Raw genomic sequence first — 16011 nt, forward strand, 5'->3', positions numbered from 1 at the left:
AAGGGACTTTGTGGATTTAATTAGTTAAGGATCTTGAGGAAGGAGGATTATCCTGGATTATGCATGGACCCATTATAATCACAAGTGTCCTTATAAATTATAGTCGGGGGGTTTAGAGTCAGATAAAAGGATGCGATAGTGGAAGAAAAGGCTGGAGTGATTGGCCATGAACCAAAGAATGTAGGTGGCCTCTAGAAGCTAGCCTAGGTGGGGGCAGGGATTCTTCCTCAGAGCCTCCAAAGAAACACAGCTATTCCAACACCTTGATTTTAGCTCCTCCATAAGACCCATTGCAGACTTTGACCTCCTAAGTTGCAAGGTAATATATTTATGCTGTTTCAAGCCAAGTCTGTGGTAATTAGGTACAGCCTCAATCAGAAACCAGTACTCCATAAAAACTACTTTTTAGGGGGTTAACTTTATTCCTCTTATGATTCATTTTAGCTTCGATCTTCCTCATCTTTCTCACCTTCCTCACTGAACACCTAAGATCATTCAGAATCAAAGATAAGCACAATATATTTATGGCCTTGGTGTTTAAAGTGGAGCTGAAGATTACTGCAGGTATCTAAAATAAACATTTCATCTTCAAGTATATTAAAGTGTATTTTCAAAATATTTGCAACCATTACTTTAATGAGAGAGAAGCCCTTAGAAAAACTGAAGTCCTTTCATACGATGAAAAACTCTTTACGTCAAAAAGTGCAAGCATTTAAAATGTTTCTGGGTCAGGCATGGAAGCTCACACTTGTAATTCCAGCACTTTGGGAGGTTGAGACAGGAGGACTGCTTGAGGCCACGAGTTTCATACCAGCCTGGGCAACACAGTGAAACCCCATCTCTAAAAAACAAAACAAAACAAACAAAAAAAATTAAAAAGCAAAACAAAAAAATGGTTTTAAAAACATTAAAAAGCAAAACTAAAAAAATTTAACCAGGTGTGGTGATGTATGCTTGTGGTCCCAGCTACTTAGGAGGCTGAGGTGGGAGGATCACTTGAGGCTGGGTGGTTGAGGCTGTAGTGAGCTGAGATTATACCACTGTACTCCAGCCTGGGCAACAGAGGGAGATCTTGTCTCAAGCTTTAAAAACTAACGTTTCTGCTCTGAAAAAATTATCTTACTACTTTGTGGTTTATTCACATGGATGCAGCCAGAGGTCATGCCATGTAGAAAAGAAGGTGCTTTGATGTACTGTTCCATTGCAAATCTCTTGGCTCACACTATCTCTGTGAAACAGTAAAAATTAATGGAAAAATTACAACTCTAAAGTACTATAAGATTTTGAAGTGCCCTTTGGATTAAAGTTTAAATTCTCTCGTGATGTTGAATGTAGTTTTTCCAGTTTTAAATTCTTAGAAATTGGAAACCAGAAAGTAAAATTAATCAGAATATTCCTTTCTCTCTTCACGCCAGATCAAATAGAGTATGATAGAATATATTAAATTTTGTTTCTGTTTAAAGGATTAAAGCTTAATTTTCACTGTAGGTATTACATGTCTGGTCTAATATTTAGGTGAGCATGGTAGAGAGAACCATGAGCTAGGAATTGGATCTGGGTTCAAGGCCCCAATCAGTAGATGACCTTGAAAATCATTTAATATTCCCCAGTTTCATTCCATTTCTAACATTACTTGCCCTAGCTACCTTGAAGAAAATAAGTGAAATATAATAATTTTAAAAATACGTTGTAGACTATAAATTGCTATTTGAAAGATACAACTAAGGAAGGATTCTGAAATATCCCATAGAACACAGAATTATAATACATGAAAATAAAATGTCCCCAAAAAGGATTCTTTTATTCTCAGCTGGAATTATACAAGCACATGCGTGTGTGTGTATCCCAGGCTGCTCATCACTGGCTAACAAATCTCACAAGACATACAGATTTCCACAATGACTATAGGTATTGAATTTTAGATAAATTACTTAAGCCTGTTATTAATATTTCAAGGTTAAGGAGTAATAAAGATTTGTTTATTTCATCGTTGACATCTAGAAATAAAAAAATAAGCAAAATTATTGTAAGCCTCTGAAGAGTTTGTTGTGCCTAGAGTTAAGGTTCAGGTTGATCTTTTTAATATTGCAACAACCTCACACACCATTAATCACTTAGAAGTGGCCCCAGGCCATGGTAAATGGATGGCCTAATAAATCAGACACAATGTTTGCTATTTCCAAATTATTGTCAATAAGCAGAGTGAGAAGGTGACAATTCAATAACTAATGCTTATAAACTGGACTTTTTGTTTTTTTAATTTTAATCAAGAACATGAGGAGGAAGGTGAACCAGCCTAAGACATATAATTATAGACATGTGTACAAAGACAACAACAATTATGGTAAAAGATGTATTCGTTGAAAACATCCCACAATTATTATGCATGAATTTCCCTATGGTTAGAGATATTGCTTCTGGTTATCTTAACTGTGTGTATATAACAAAAAGTGGGATCCAAAGTCTTTTTCGTGCTTATGGGTGAGAAAATAGTGAGGGGGGGCATATGGAGATCTGAAGATGAGGATTGAGCAAAATGGACTGCCATGGGGCAATGCACATGTGAAAATAGAAATGTTAATGAAATATAGGGAAATATAGTGAATGAAATATATGGAAAAATGTATGGAAAATAGTGGCGTTGGGGCAGGGAAGGCAAGAGGTTGAGATTAAAGGAGAAGGGGCTATAGTTAATGCAACCTAGTTGGGTAGTGAAAGAGAATATAAAACCAAGGCCCTTACAAAATAACCAGATGCAGAAAATATAGGAGTACTGTGGTTTGGCACCAGTCAATATACCAAGATGCAGAATGAACTGGAGAAAATTATAATGCAGTTTATCAGCAGGAAGGACGGTCTACATTCTTAGAAGCCTGGTCTCCTAGTGCTGTAGGTACTATAGGAAAAGCTGGGCAAAGATGGGAGAACAAAATAAAATGAAAAGCGAACATTAGCATTGTCCCCTAAAACTTTCTGATACTCAAAAAAAAAAAAACAAAACAAAAAATGAGGGCTTCTTATAAAATAGAGTGTTGACGAGTCTTGGGTAGGCTTGGGTAAGAATGGGCTGAGGAAGACAGAGAGAAAAGGGAACCACATGACAAGATAGAGATCATGGCAACTTTTTGATATTCTTAAACTTCTATCAGGACAGTAAGGTAAGATGGAATTTGTGACCTTACTGAGAACAAAATATATGAATTCAAACTTCAATTTTGATCTTGGAGTGATTGGTATGGCTAGTTGAAAAAAGCTTTGGTTTTGGAGTGAAAAAAAAAACCACCCCAAAAAACCATGTTTAAATCCCAGCCCAATCACATATGAGCTAAGTAAGGTCCTTTACAACATGAGTTGTTAAAAGGCTAACATTTTTATTGGTTTCTTTATCTGTAAAAATGAGGATATTAATAGTTCCTACCTCGGTGTTGTTGTGAGATGTAAAAGAGAAAAATCCATGTAAAAATCCTATTACTTACATTGGTGGTAATGCTAGCTACACCACTATTAATATTAACTACAAAGATTTAAGAAAATCCTTGAATCTCTGCACACCTTACTTACCTAATCTATGAAATGCAAGTAATGATCATACATTTATGGTCTGGAGTGTAGGCTTGAATGAGATCATGTATGCAAGATACCTGGCACACAATAGGCTTACAGTAAGTAGTAGCTGTTGTTACTTAAAAATGCACTGGTTTCAAAATAATCCAAGTTCCAATTTGTCCAGATGACAAAAACATATTTGGAGTGCTTGATATATATGTATGTGTATTTTAGTTTATCTACTCAGTACATTTTCATCAAGGGTAAGGGATCCCACGTGGATTTATAGTAATACTTTTCTTAGGAAAAGCACTATCAAAATTCTGTTTATCAAAATCTATCAAATTAGCTTGAAACCTGCCTCCAATTTTCCAAATTTCATGCACTGCCTCTTTACCATTATCATGTCTTCTGCTAGTAACAAGACATAAGTAGTTGCCTCTGGGAAATACAGAGGTTTTTTTCCTTCCTTTTTTTCTTTTTGATACGGTAAATTTGTTCTCTGAAAGAGAAGATGGTGAGACAACCAAATTACAGCAAGTTTTTTCAAAAAAACATTGCGTGATTTCCATGAGTTTTTATTTCGTTTATATCACCACCATTCTTTTATATGCTAGACAGCTTCTAGCACCATGCTGGGTGCATAGAAACTATGAAGTAAGTAGTTACTCATTTGGGTCCTTAGAAACAGAAGACTAAGTTTTCCTCACAATATTTCCTATTTAACTATAATCAAAGACCCATATCAACCATGTTTCTATAAACAGAGATTTATAGTAGATGCTTAACTGGAAGCAATATTATTATAATTGATTTCCAGACTAAACACACACACACACACACACACACACACACTTAAAACTTAAAATGGTTATAATTAGAGCACAATACAACCCAGTCTTCTTTATTGGGGATCCACATTGCTGTCATTATAAGTGTCGCTTTTCAGCACCATGTCCCTTACCAAACAGAGCTCATTTTGAAATGCCAGTTTTTGTGAAAAATTCTATCCATTTTCGACATGGTATTTGGACAAGAGAAGTTTTTCTCTTTGGGTTCATTTTCGGGTTGTTAGCCTAATCTAAAATAGAGCTTCTTTAAAAGTCTGCCCGAATGTTTAGTTAAAACAGAGAAGGAACAGCTGAGTGTTGAGTGGTAGTGTTACATTGAGTGAAGACACGACTGTAAATAACTCTGCAATTTGGAAATGAATGATGCTTTTGACAGAGACAATTATGTCTCTATTGACAACATTGATGTCAAACGCCAAGTGAAAATATGAGATTGACTATCAGCAGTTTCCACCAGTTAAAGTAGCTTCACTGAGATAAAGGAACAAGAACAAATGCATTCCTCTCACTCCTCTACTCACACTCTTTTCATTCTCTCAGAGCTGGCTTAGTCCAGTTCCACTTTGGGGGAAAGGATCAAGTGTTCACACTTCATCAAAAGAAGATCAAATACTCTTAGCTGTTTCTTTTTAAGTTAATCATTTCCAGGCTATCATTAGTCACTTTTCCCACCTCAAAGAAGGGAAGCTGAAATACTCAAGAAAAGAAGTCGAGCCCTGAACTTCTATCAAAGTAATTACAATTTCCGAGTTAGACATGACGTATCTGAAATAAGGTCTTTGCCGTGAAAACCTCACACAGAGATCTTACCAGCCTTCAAAGTTGTTTTTCTTATAATTGCTAAATACTGGCTTATATTTCTGGGGTGGAGAATATTCTGCGTGGCAAGTTTTCCAGTTTGAAAAAACGTCCTACATTGGAGAGCCTTGATGGAGAAATAATTTCTTCCATATATATCTCTCCATTTTAGTCAATTGTTGTATTACCGAGGCTCTTTGACTAGTATTTTTATTGTAAAGAAATTATGTTCCCTTTAATATGTACTAAAAGCACTTTCATTCTTTAATATTCATATTTAAATATGTAATGTAAACATTTATTAAAAGCAGGGTACAGCATAAAAATTAGCAGACCATATTCACATTCTGGAGTCAGACAAATAATATGCTGTGTGTAAGATCTGGATTTGTGGAGGAATTCCTGAGGGCATAGAATGTCGGTAGAGAAAACATTTGGCCTCCAAGTCTCAGGAGTTGCAATGGGACATCTGTCGGCGTAGAGCAGTGTTACATACACCATTGTGCTCATCTCGCCTTTCTTGCTGCTGTATGGCAGTGATGGGTCCTCCATGGGGGGCATTCTTCTTATTGTAATATGACTTTCCTATTTGGGGTAGAGAGATGGATAGGTGACGTGTTTTGTTTTGAAAAACAAATGGTGTGAGCTTTCTATAAAGGAATATGTGATTTTAACATGCAAAGAAAGCATCCGGTATATGATGCTAGAATTAAACTCTTTAAAGTAACTACCCCTCTGTGAAATATGTGTTTTTGAAGACTTAAAATTTAGTAAGGGACTGTGAGTTCACTGTTAGAATAACTTACATAAAGACATGTCATAAAGTGAAAAATAAAATTCATTAAAAGGAAGAAACCCAATAAAGAACAATTTTTGTTAAAGAAAATAAGGTATTTTGTTAACTATATGACAATATAGTTGTTATTTTATTTCATTGAAAAAGCTACTTTATTTTGGCCGGGCATGGTGGCTCACACCTGTAATCCCTGAACTTTGGGAGGCCAAGGAGGGTGGATCACCTGAGGTCAGGAGTTCAAGACCAGCCTGGCCAACATGATGAAACCCCATCTCTACTAAAAATACAAAAAATTAGCTGGACATGGTGGCAGGCACCTGTAATTCCAGCTACTCGAGAGCCTGAGGCAGAAGAATCACTTGAACCCAGGAGGTGGAGGTTGCAGTGAGCCAAGATGGTGTTACTGCACTCCAGCCTGGGCAGCAAGAGCAAAACTCTTGAAGTATAATTGAATAATTTACCTTTGCGAATGGATGCTATAGATATAAATGTGTATTTTTTAATCACAACATTTTAATCTCTTTCAGTTATGAGACTGATGGGGTATAGGAGACAGTTCTTAGTATAAGAGATTATTTAAAGGCTAACTTCTTATAGACCTTGTGTGTTTATTTTTATTTCTAAAGTTGTACCTGTTTGCTACATTTTGTATGAGTTACTAGTAAAGTAACAAATATTTTTGCCATAGACCTGTCTGATTATGCAAAAGCAGGAGATCTTTTCTTACTGTTGACTTTATAACTTTACCTCAGCTCCCTGGGCCTCAGCCTCCTTCTCTGTAAGATTATAGAACTGAACTAGCATACAGCCAGGGTCCTTCTGGCTCTAAAATTTTATCCATCTATCATCCTTAATCAGAGAATAATTTGATATATATTTCTATATGCTTTTTTGTTCTAAGCTATTGTTTTCATTAAGTATTGTATCTATTTAATTTACTGTTTTAAAACCGCTAGTAAAGCCTCCTTTTTTACCAAAGCGTTTAAAAATATTGTCTCTGGGATTTGTTTCTTTTTCCATTAAATTTAGATAACTTTGTTCATTTTCATAAAGTTCTAGAAAATTTCATGTATGTCTTCTGTGTTCACGTTTTCTATGAACATCTTCATTGCACTTCAGTAGGTCAGAGTAATAAGAGGTTTTCTGTTTATCCAGATTTATAAAATGAGCGTATTAAAAGGCCTTGACTTGTATTTCTCTATCGTCTCTTCTCTACTGTTTCAAGAATACTAGAGAACACACATAATGTGACTCAGCACTGTTTTAGCAGTAATATATATTACTAAATGGAGGATACGTTTTTTGTCCTCATGGAGCCTACTATATAGAGGGGAAAATGCGTATTAACAAATGAACGCACAAATATATTTATCAGTGCATTAAGAATGAAAAGACGATACTAAACAATGTCCCAATGGAAATGATGTATGTAACAGAACTGAGAAACGCCTATTTTAGAAGGTGGCCTTAAGCAAATTTTTGAAGAAAGAATAGGAGTTGGCCAGGAGGAGGGCTCACAGAGGGTGTATTGTACTCGGGGGGGCAGAAAGTACAAAGACCTTGAACCTGTAAATTGTTGGTACTTTCAAAGTGGCTAGAGTGTAATAACGTGAGACGAGTTGGGAGTGGTTCTTATAGAAATCTTGTATTTTATTTTAAGGGTAGCATGACCATGTAATTTATTGTCAAAAACAGGACACTTTGGAGAACTAAAGTGGACGTTGGTGATAATTAAGCTGCAGCAATAGGTGTAAACCAGGACTTGCCCGAAGAAAACCAGTACAAATTGTTACCTACTTAAATCATATCTGAAGATAATTAAATCCTTGAATAAGGAGAGTCATAAAATTCGATTAATGGTTTTGAAATATTACACCAAGTACTGTGTGCAGAGTGGTTTATAAGAGAACAACAATGGAAACAGACGCTTGCCCGGGTCTAGATGAGGAATAAGATGAAAAACAAAAAAAAGAGGCAGATTTGAAATTCAGTTTAGATGTAGAATTGCTAGAACTTGGTGATGGATTGGATGGAGGTAGGAAGAAGAAATGATTTTCAAAATGATTCCCAGGTTTCTATTTGTAGAACTGCCTGAATGGACATGCCATTTATTAATATTTGGAAAATTAAAGAAACAGGTTTGGGGCAGGATTGGTGAAAGGCCAAGAGATTAGTTTGGGGATCCTAAATATGAGATGCCTGACAAGCTTCCAAATGGAGATGTCATGAAGAAAGCTAAGTTTCATCTTGAATAGCAATCTCTGTGGTTGATAAAAGTTTAAAGGTTGTAAACATTTATATGCCATTTAAATCAAGAAAATGTCTGAAATTACTGAGAAGGAATATTAAAGTGATTTTTTAAAAGTTGGCCCAGGTCTGAGTCTTAAGGAGCACAAAAATTAACTGATGGGTTAAAAAGGAAGAAACGGCAAAGTCTTTTGGGCCATTATAGGGAAGAATTCTATATACTTCTCAGAAGGCCACAAAGGAACTAATCTCTTTATTCCTCTTGACTAACATGTTGACCTTCATAACACACTTTTATTCCTTCATCCTCCTTGCCTATCTCACTCTCTGAAGTCCCTAACACCTGTCCCCTTGAGTCACCTCTTACATCAACTACTTGCACACAAATCTTCATCTCAGGCTCTACTTTGGGCCTGAGAGAGAAGAAACAAGGGAATAGAAATACGACCAGGAGAGTGTGTTATTGCAGAAGTAAAGAGGTTATGTCCAGAAGGAAGGAGTGGGAAAAAAACTTTTGAATGCTGCTGAGAGGTTAAGACAAGAACTGGTTTGGTGATGTAGAAATCATTGGCAATACCCATTAGAATAGTGAGTGTGTTTGCTGAGAATGATGGTTTCCTGCTTCATCCATGTCCCTGCAAAGGACATGAACTCATCCTTTGTTATGGCTGCATAATATTCCATGGTGTATGTGTGCCACATTTTCTTTATGCAGTCTATCATTGATGGTCATTTGGGTTGGTTCCAAGACTTTGCTATTGTGAACAGTGCCGCAATAAACATAAGTATGCATGTGTCTTTATAGTAGAATGATTTTTAATCCTTTGGGTATATACCCAGTAATGAGATTGCTGGGTCAAATGGTATTTCTGGTTCTAGATCCTTGAGGAATCTCTACACTGTCTTCCACAACAGTCGAACTAATTTACACTCCCACCAACAGTGTAATGGAAAACCAAACACTGCACGTTCTCACTCATAAGTGGGAGTTGAATAATGAGAACGCATGGACACAGGAAGGGGAACATCACACACTGGGGCCTGTCATGGGGGTGGGGGGCTAGCGGAGGGATAGCATTTGGAGAAATACCTAATGTAGATGATGGGTTGATGGGTGCAGCAAACCACCATGACACAAGGATCACAAGGTCAGGAGATTGAGACCATCCTGGCTAACAAGGTGAAATCCCGTCTGTACTAAAAATACAAAAAATTAGCCAGGCATGGTGGCAGGTGCCTGTAGTCCTAGGTACTTGGGAGGGGAGGCAGGAGAATGGGGTGAACCCAGGAGGCGGAGCTTGCAGTGAGCCGAGATCGCGCCGCTTCACTCCAGCCTGGGTGACAGAGCAAGACTCCATCTCAAAAAAAAAAAAAAAAAGTGTGATATATTAGAGCATATATGAATGCTGATGGTAATGATCCACTAAAGAGAAGATCAGGTTATCAGCTGGGAAAAAAAGGAGGTGGATGGTTGGAGGTACAGGAAGAAAGCAGTAGACAGTCACTGTGATGGTGAGTGAGAGATCACTTTGGTCTCTAGGTGTTAAATAATTGTTTGAGGCTGGTGACCATTAATTACCTATGATCTCAATCTGCTCTGTTAGGAAATTTTCGTCCAGCAGATCTCAGTTTCACCAACGCTGGCCCAGAGACAACGCTTTTGTTGGATGCATCATTGGAATTTGCAAGGTGAATGTAATGGAAGAAGAAAGGGCCCAGGGAATTGAGGGCATATACAAAAGATTCATTATAAATAGGGGCTGTGGAACATGATCTATTGAAAGGAGAAGTGAATTCCTGAGGGGCTTGGTAGATAGAAATGAAGTGATAAGGATAACAGATTGCACTCCTCTGTGAGGTCAAAGGATTGTTACAGTGAGAGTGCTCCAGAAGGATGCAAAGGTGATAAGAAAGTAGGATCTTTGAAAGAATGAATTTGCTTGTGGTGTAGTTTTTGGTGGTGAACTCTGCTGGTATTTCAGTTCTCTAAATTTCTACAAATTCAATTCTATGGTGTGATAGGGCTATGAAGGGATAACATGCATTTTGTGCCTCTACCTTTTTCCTGTTTGTCAATGGTATCCCTTTTAAATGGGCTTGAGTTGCCACATTACTTGATTTTGGAAGGCATTGAGAATCCAATGTAGTGTTCTACGATTCTGGCAGCCCTACCTGCCCCCTTCTGCATTACCATGGGGCTTCAAGGACATACTAAGTTGAAGAAATCCTGATCCTGAAAAAAAAGTCTTTACTGCCTCACAGGAATTTACGATGTCAATTTTAGTGATACATAAACAGGCATCTTACATTCTCTATATACCAAAAGTATTGACGGGTATGTAACTATCTCCTGTGGGCTTTTTTTTTCCCTTCTGAGCCTTTGTATACACCTGTGACTGATGTAACATTCTTATATTATCTCATATTCTTCCTTCAAAGAGTGTTCAAACATCATCTTCTATGTGATATCTAACTTGACCATTTCTGACCTTCTTTTCAGTCCTGTCAGTTCATCCATCCTCTGGGCCCAAATGAAATTGTATACTTTATTTTTTGTTTTACTCTATTATAATTATTTGCATGACTGTCTCTTTACTTGACTGTGTTTTTTTGAAGCCAGAGAACATGTTTGTTCATCTTTGTATTCTTAATGCCAGCCCAATTGCTGGCATATTTTAAGTGTTAAGCAAATATTTGTTTAAAAAATTAAGATAGGAATGAATGAATTCTATTTACCTTTTAATAAATCATGCACCAATCAGTAGCAACCATCATGCTATTAAATGGCATAAGCAATTATAAGTTTGTTTACTGAATCTTACGTTATTGGCTATCAGAAAAAAAGTGCCACCAAACACATTTTTATAATGAAGTAGATCTATAATCTGGCTTTTGTAACTCCTGAACTGTTGTGGATTGCATGTGGCTTAGGAGTTGGAGAGAAAGGGGAGGCAATGTAGTACTTCCCAATTTATGAGGGGACCTAGGAGCAGAGATTAAAATGCAGAATGGCAATCAGATTAAAAGGGTTGATGAGATCCTGAAAACATCCTTCAGGCCACAGGGGAGCCCAGGGGAGAAATCTTGGGAGAACTGCAGGCCATTGAGGGGAGGGGAAAACTAGGCCTCCCACCACTAAATAATAAGAGATGAAATGAAACCACTTATCTGATTTTAGAATTTTATCTGGACATGGAAACCTTCCAATTATTTATTTATACATAATGATATCAAGCTCTATCTACTGCCACTCCAAAGAGAACTCTTAAATAATCAAATAAAATGTTAAGATTTTCTATCCAAAGTATTCAAAGGAAGGAAGAAAAAAAAAAAACACACAGGGTTTTGAAGTACTCTTTTTCTGATAACAATTTAAATGGAACAACAAGAGTTATTAGTGATTTTATTTTATTTGATATAGAAAAGGCTCACTTTTTACTTCACATATTTATATACATTAAATCAATATATTTTTGGTTTTATTCAAGCTTAAGTAGAAACACTTCTTTTCACCCTTTATGTTGTATAAAATAAGATATTTGCTAAATGACAAAATTCCTCAAAGAGTCAATTTTCACTCAAAGGCAGGGTTTAAATGTTTATATGTTCTTATTCATAATTTACAATAAAAACTCATTTTAAATCATTTTAACCACTTAGGTTTAGCATACATTGTAGATACTTGCATAAGATGTTTTCAATAATGCCACTATTATAGTAATACCAACTTTATTTTGACTTTAAAAATGTATTTCCTTGGTAACATAGTAGCTTAAACTATTAAATCTGTTAACAGACTCAGGAGAATGATGGGGTAAGTGATGGATATTTTCCCACATATGGAAACTGAGGGAGCCAGTTTGAATAATCAGAGGCCCTTGACAAAACTTGCAAAGTAAGTAACTAAATTTGGTTTTATAAGACACAAAGGCAAATTAATGATACAAATTAATGAGAACATATACAAAATTGATGATACAGATTTGGGTTCCCTAGTGCCCAAATAAGTCAATTTTTATTTATGTGTTTTTGTTTTTGAGAAGATACTAGGTTTGGATATAAAGGAATGGGGCATCTGTGTGGTTTCAGAATATTAAAACAAAGGTTAGGTTTAAATAGGGAACAAGAGAGGAAATAAAAGAGAAAGACAAAAGGACATGAGAAATGTATGTTGGGGGAAGAAAAAAGAAGGAAGAGTACAAGGGAAAAATCTGTACAGAGTTGGAATTTCTAGGGTTCTAACCATCACATCCACAACCAGCATGGCCCCTGTTCACATGGCCCCATTTTAGATGGAAGGCAAATAGAACATCTCCTACTGACCATAAAATGAGCACATTCAGAATCTGTTTATCTTGCATGTCACCGAAGAACGACAGTATCTATCTATATAGACAGAACCCAGGAGTTACATGAGATGGGAGCTGACGTGAACATTAGCCAAGTATTCCAGGCTGAGAGGCAGAAAGTAAACCTCAGATTTTGGTCTATGCATTGGAGGAGAAAGGAAAATAAAAGCAAAACCAAATACCTTGAATAGTCTCTCCTGATGCCTACATTTCCAAAAAGAATAGTTTGTTCTATTCTAGAGAATTAAATAGTCAACTTCCTAATTTCAAGTTGTCACTCCCTGAGCACTGATTTTTCTCCATATATGTGGAAATTCCTGTCCTTCTGTGACTGCCATGCCATTAGATTACACTGTTTTCTTTGCTTCATCGTTGCTGCTTCAGTCACCAAGGCACTGACCTTCACTCACTGAAGAATTAAGACATCTCCTAGATTTTTTATATTAATTATATTAATCATCCTGAATGTTTTCCACATTCTTGTGGATAACACATCTAACACCCTCCTTAACTTCTTCTACTCCAATGCTCTTCAGCTTCCCTCCTCTTCATTCACTCAGTTTATGGTTAGAAGTGGTGTTCAACCAGTATATACTGCCTGTGCAAATAGTAAAGTATGTTTGTGCTGGTTACTAAACACTTACACCTGGGTGCTCCCTCCCCCTGCATGAACCTTTGCTCCCTGGGAACCCCTCCAGCATTCTCCATACTCCAGCAACGATAGGGTTGACTCCCGGTCCTGTGTAGAGGAGCACCAAGGCATGGCTTCAGTCCTGGGGCAGCAGTGTTTGAGCCATCTACACTACCCATTAAATGTTTTAATGTCAGCCCTGTCCACTGACACACAATATTTTATTGACGTGTGAGACCACTTCATGTTGGAAATTATATGCCCCTAATTTATACTCTAATCCCTCAATTCTGTCTACTGTTTTTCTTATTTTTTAAATCTTCTTGTTCTTCTGCCTTATTGAGCTCCATACTCCCTGGATCCCTGAATTTTCTGTCTATCAGCTTTTCTCTACCTTCACTTTCTTCTCTTCTAAATCTTGGTTTATTATTTTAACTTCATTCTCTCTAACATCATCCTGTCTTTTATTGCCTTGTCCTTCTACCACGTCTGCTCTAGAAAATGTAACTAAATTAAACCCATTATCCATCTCTGATCTTACAACCACTCAAGCTTTAGAGAAAGCTAGGGAAAGTCAAGTAAGCATACAGACTATTATGTGTCTCATTGCTGCCTGGTGACTTTTACAAGTTGTTGGCCAACTCCCTTGTCCCTTATTACTTATTCCAAATTCTTAATTCTCTCCTCCAGTACCTGCCTCGCCTCCCAGTACATCCCCTTCACCTTCACCAGAGATTTTACTCCAATTTTGGAGAGGAACTTGATATTCTCTGGCAGGAATACACTCAGCTTTATGTTCTACCATGGCAGGCTAATGAAATTGGACCAATCTTTGATGTTTTTCCCTTCAGAGCCAAAGAAGTAGTTCCCTTCACTGACAGGTCAGGACCAATCCATGGTATTCTTTTCTTTCTTCTCTTTTGAGATGGAGTCTCGCTCTGTTGCCCAGGCTGGAGTGCAGTGGCACAATCTTGGCTCCCTGCAACCTCCACTTCCCAGGTTCAAGCAATTCTCCTGTCTCAGCCTTCTGGGTAGCTGGGATTACAGATGTACGCCTGGCTACTTTTTTCTATTTTTAGTAGAGATGGGGTTTTGCCACATTGGTGAGGCTGGTCTCAGACTCCTGACCTCAAGTGATCCACCTACCTCAGCCTCCCAAAGTGTGGGGATTACAGGCTTGAGCCACCGGCCTGGCCCGTGGTATTATTTTCTAATACATTTTTTCCTTCTCCTCTCAGATTGTCCTGCATCAATGATTTTGTCTTTTTGTCTTTCTCTTCTCCACTGGATCATTTCTTCAAGTTTGAATACGTGCTTATGGCCCTTTCTTATTAAAAGAGAAAACCCAATATTTTTCCACCTGCTGACTCTTCTTGCTTGTCATATAGTTTCTGCCATTACAGAGTTATTTTAGTTATCCCCCAAGTTCCCATTTACTTTTACCTCCTGAGAAGAGTCTTCTTCCAAAATCGTTGAAGCCATGCTGGTTAACGTCACCACAGTCTTTCCATTTTTCAAACACAATAGACATTTTTTGGCTTTTATTTTACCTCACCTTTCTAAAGCATATGACACTGTTAACAACTTTCCCATTCTTAAGCTATTCTACACACTTGACCTACAGTACTTCGGCTTTTCTTTCTTTCTGACCGCTCCTCAGCTTCACTGAGTTCATCTATCAGTGGAAGCATTTGCATTTCCCTGGATTCTATCAGTCCTGGTTTCTTCAAATGTTTCTCTCTCTCTCTGGATGACCTTATCTGTAATAAAGTTTTAACATTCATCTACATGATATTTTCATCTGTCTTTGGAATACCTCCAGCTAGCTAATGACGATGATGTTAAAATTAATAGCAATCATGAATATTATTAACATTTTTAAAGCACCTCCTTTCAAGCACTATGCTGAGTTTTTAACTTCTCTACTCACCAAAATTTCCGATTCCCCCTATTTTATATTTGAGTGGGGAAGCAACTTGCCTATGTCACACAGAAATTAAGTGGCAGAGTTAGGCTTTAAACTCAGCATATCTGACCCAAAGGCCATGCTTTAAGCCAGTTTACTAAACGTTACGTGTCCAAAATGTAATTCCTATCCCCCAAATTATTCATCTTCCTATATAATCTGTTTCAACAAATATATAATTATCTACAGCAAAACCCAAAACAAAAAACTTGAAGTCATCTAAGATTCTTCCCTTCTCTAAGCAGTAAATCACCAAGTCCTGCTTGTTATATCTCTTCCCTTTTATTCTTGTCCCATGACTATTTCCTTAGTTCAGTGGCCCCATAATTTCTCTCCTGTCCCATTGAAAAAGCTTCTCAGTTTGATTATGCATCTCCTTCTCATCTTGGTACCTTCCAATTTATCCTCCAGCAGCTATTCATCTTCTTATACCATATATCTGATTATATCCCTCCTCTGATAAATCCCTAATGACTGACTTCCCATATCCTGCAGCAGTCTTTCTCAAAGTGAGTTTTGTGTAGCACCTCCCATCAAAATCACCTAGAAAGCTTGTTAGCAGATGCTAAGGAACCACACCAGAAATTCTTAATTAGAATTAGTGGTAGCAGGACCTAGACTCTGTATTGTTAACAAGCTCCCTATGTGATTCTTTTTCACACTAAAATTTGAGAGCTTCTGGTCTCCAGATTAAGTGCAAACACTTCAGAATTGCTGATAAGCACCATCTGACTGGCTCTGGCTTATCTCCCTCCTTCCCCGCTTTTTTCCACTCCCCCAACTACACTCTGCTTTCCAATCACACCAAATTTTTGCAGATGTCCCTA

At 37.3% G+C, this 16011-nt stretch overlaps 1 long non-coding RNA gene across 2 annotated transcripts in view; it reads left to right on the forward strand.

The window, feature by feature from the left end:
* LOC105370766 (uncharacterized) overlaps positions 1–16011 on the forward strand; it is a 56276-nt gene that overhangs the window by 20469 nt on the left and 19796 nt on the right. The window contains exon 3 of one of the 2 annotated variants that reach the window (XR_932104.3): positions 445–564. The exons of the other annotated variant lie outside the window; for it this stretch is intronic. This is a non-coding gene — a long non-coding RNA (uncharacterized LOC105370766). Of the gene's footprint in view, positions 1–444; positions 565–16011 lie in introns of those variants that run through there. 2 annotated transcript variants of the gene reach the window in all.

Source organism: Homo sapiens, chromosome 15 (genome assembly GCF_000001405.40).
Source record: "Homo sapiens chromosome 15, GRCh38.p14 Primary Assembly".
Classification (NCBI taxonomy): Eukaryota; Metazoa; Chordata; class Mammalia; order Primates; family Hominidae; genus Homo; species Homo sapiens.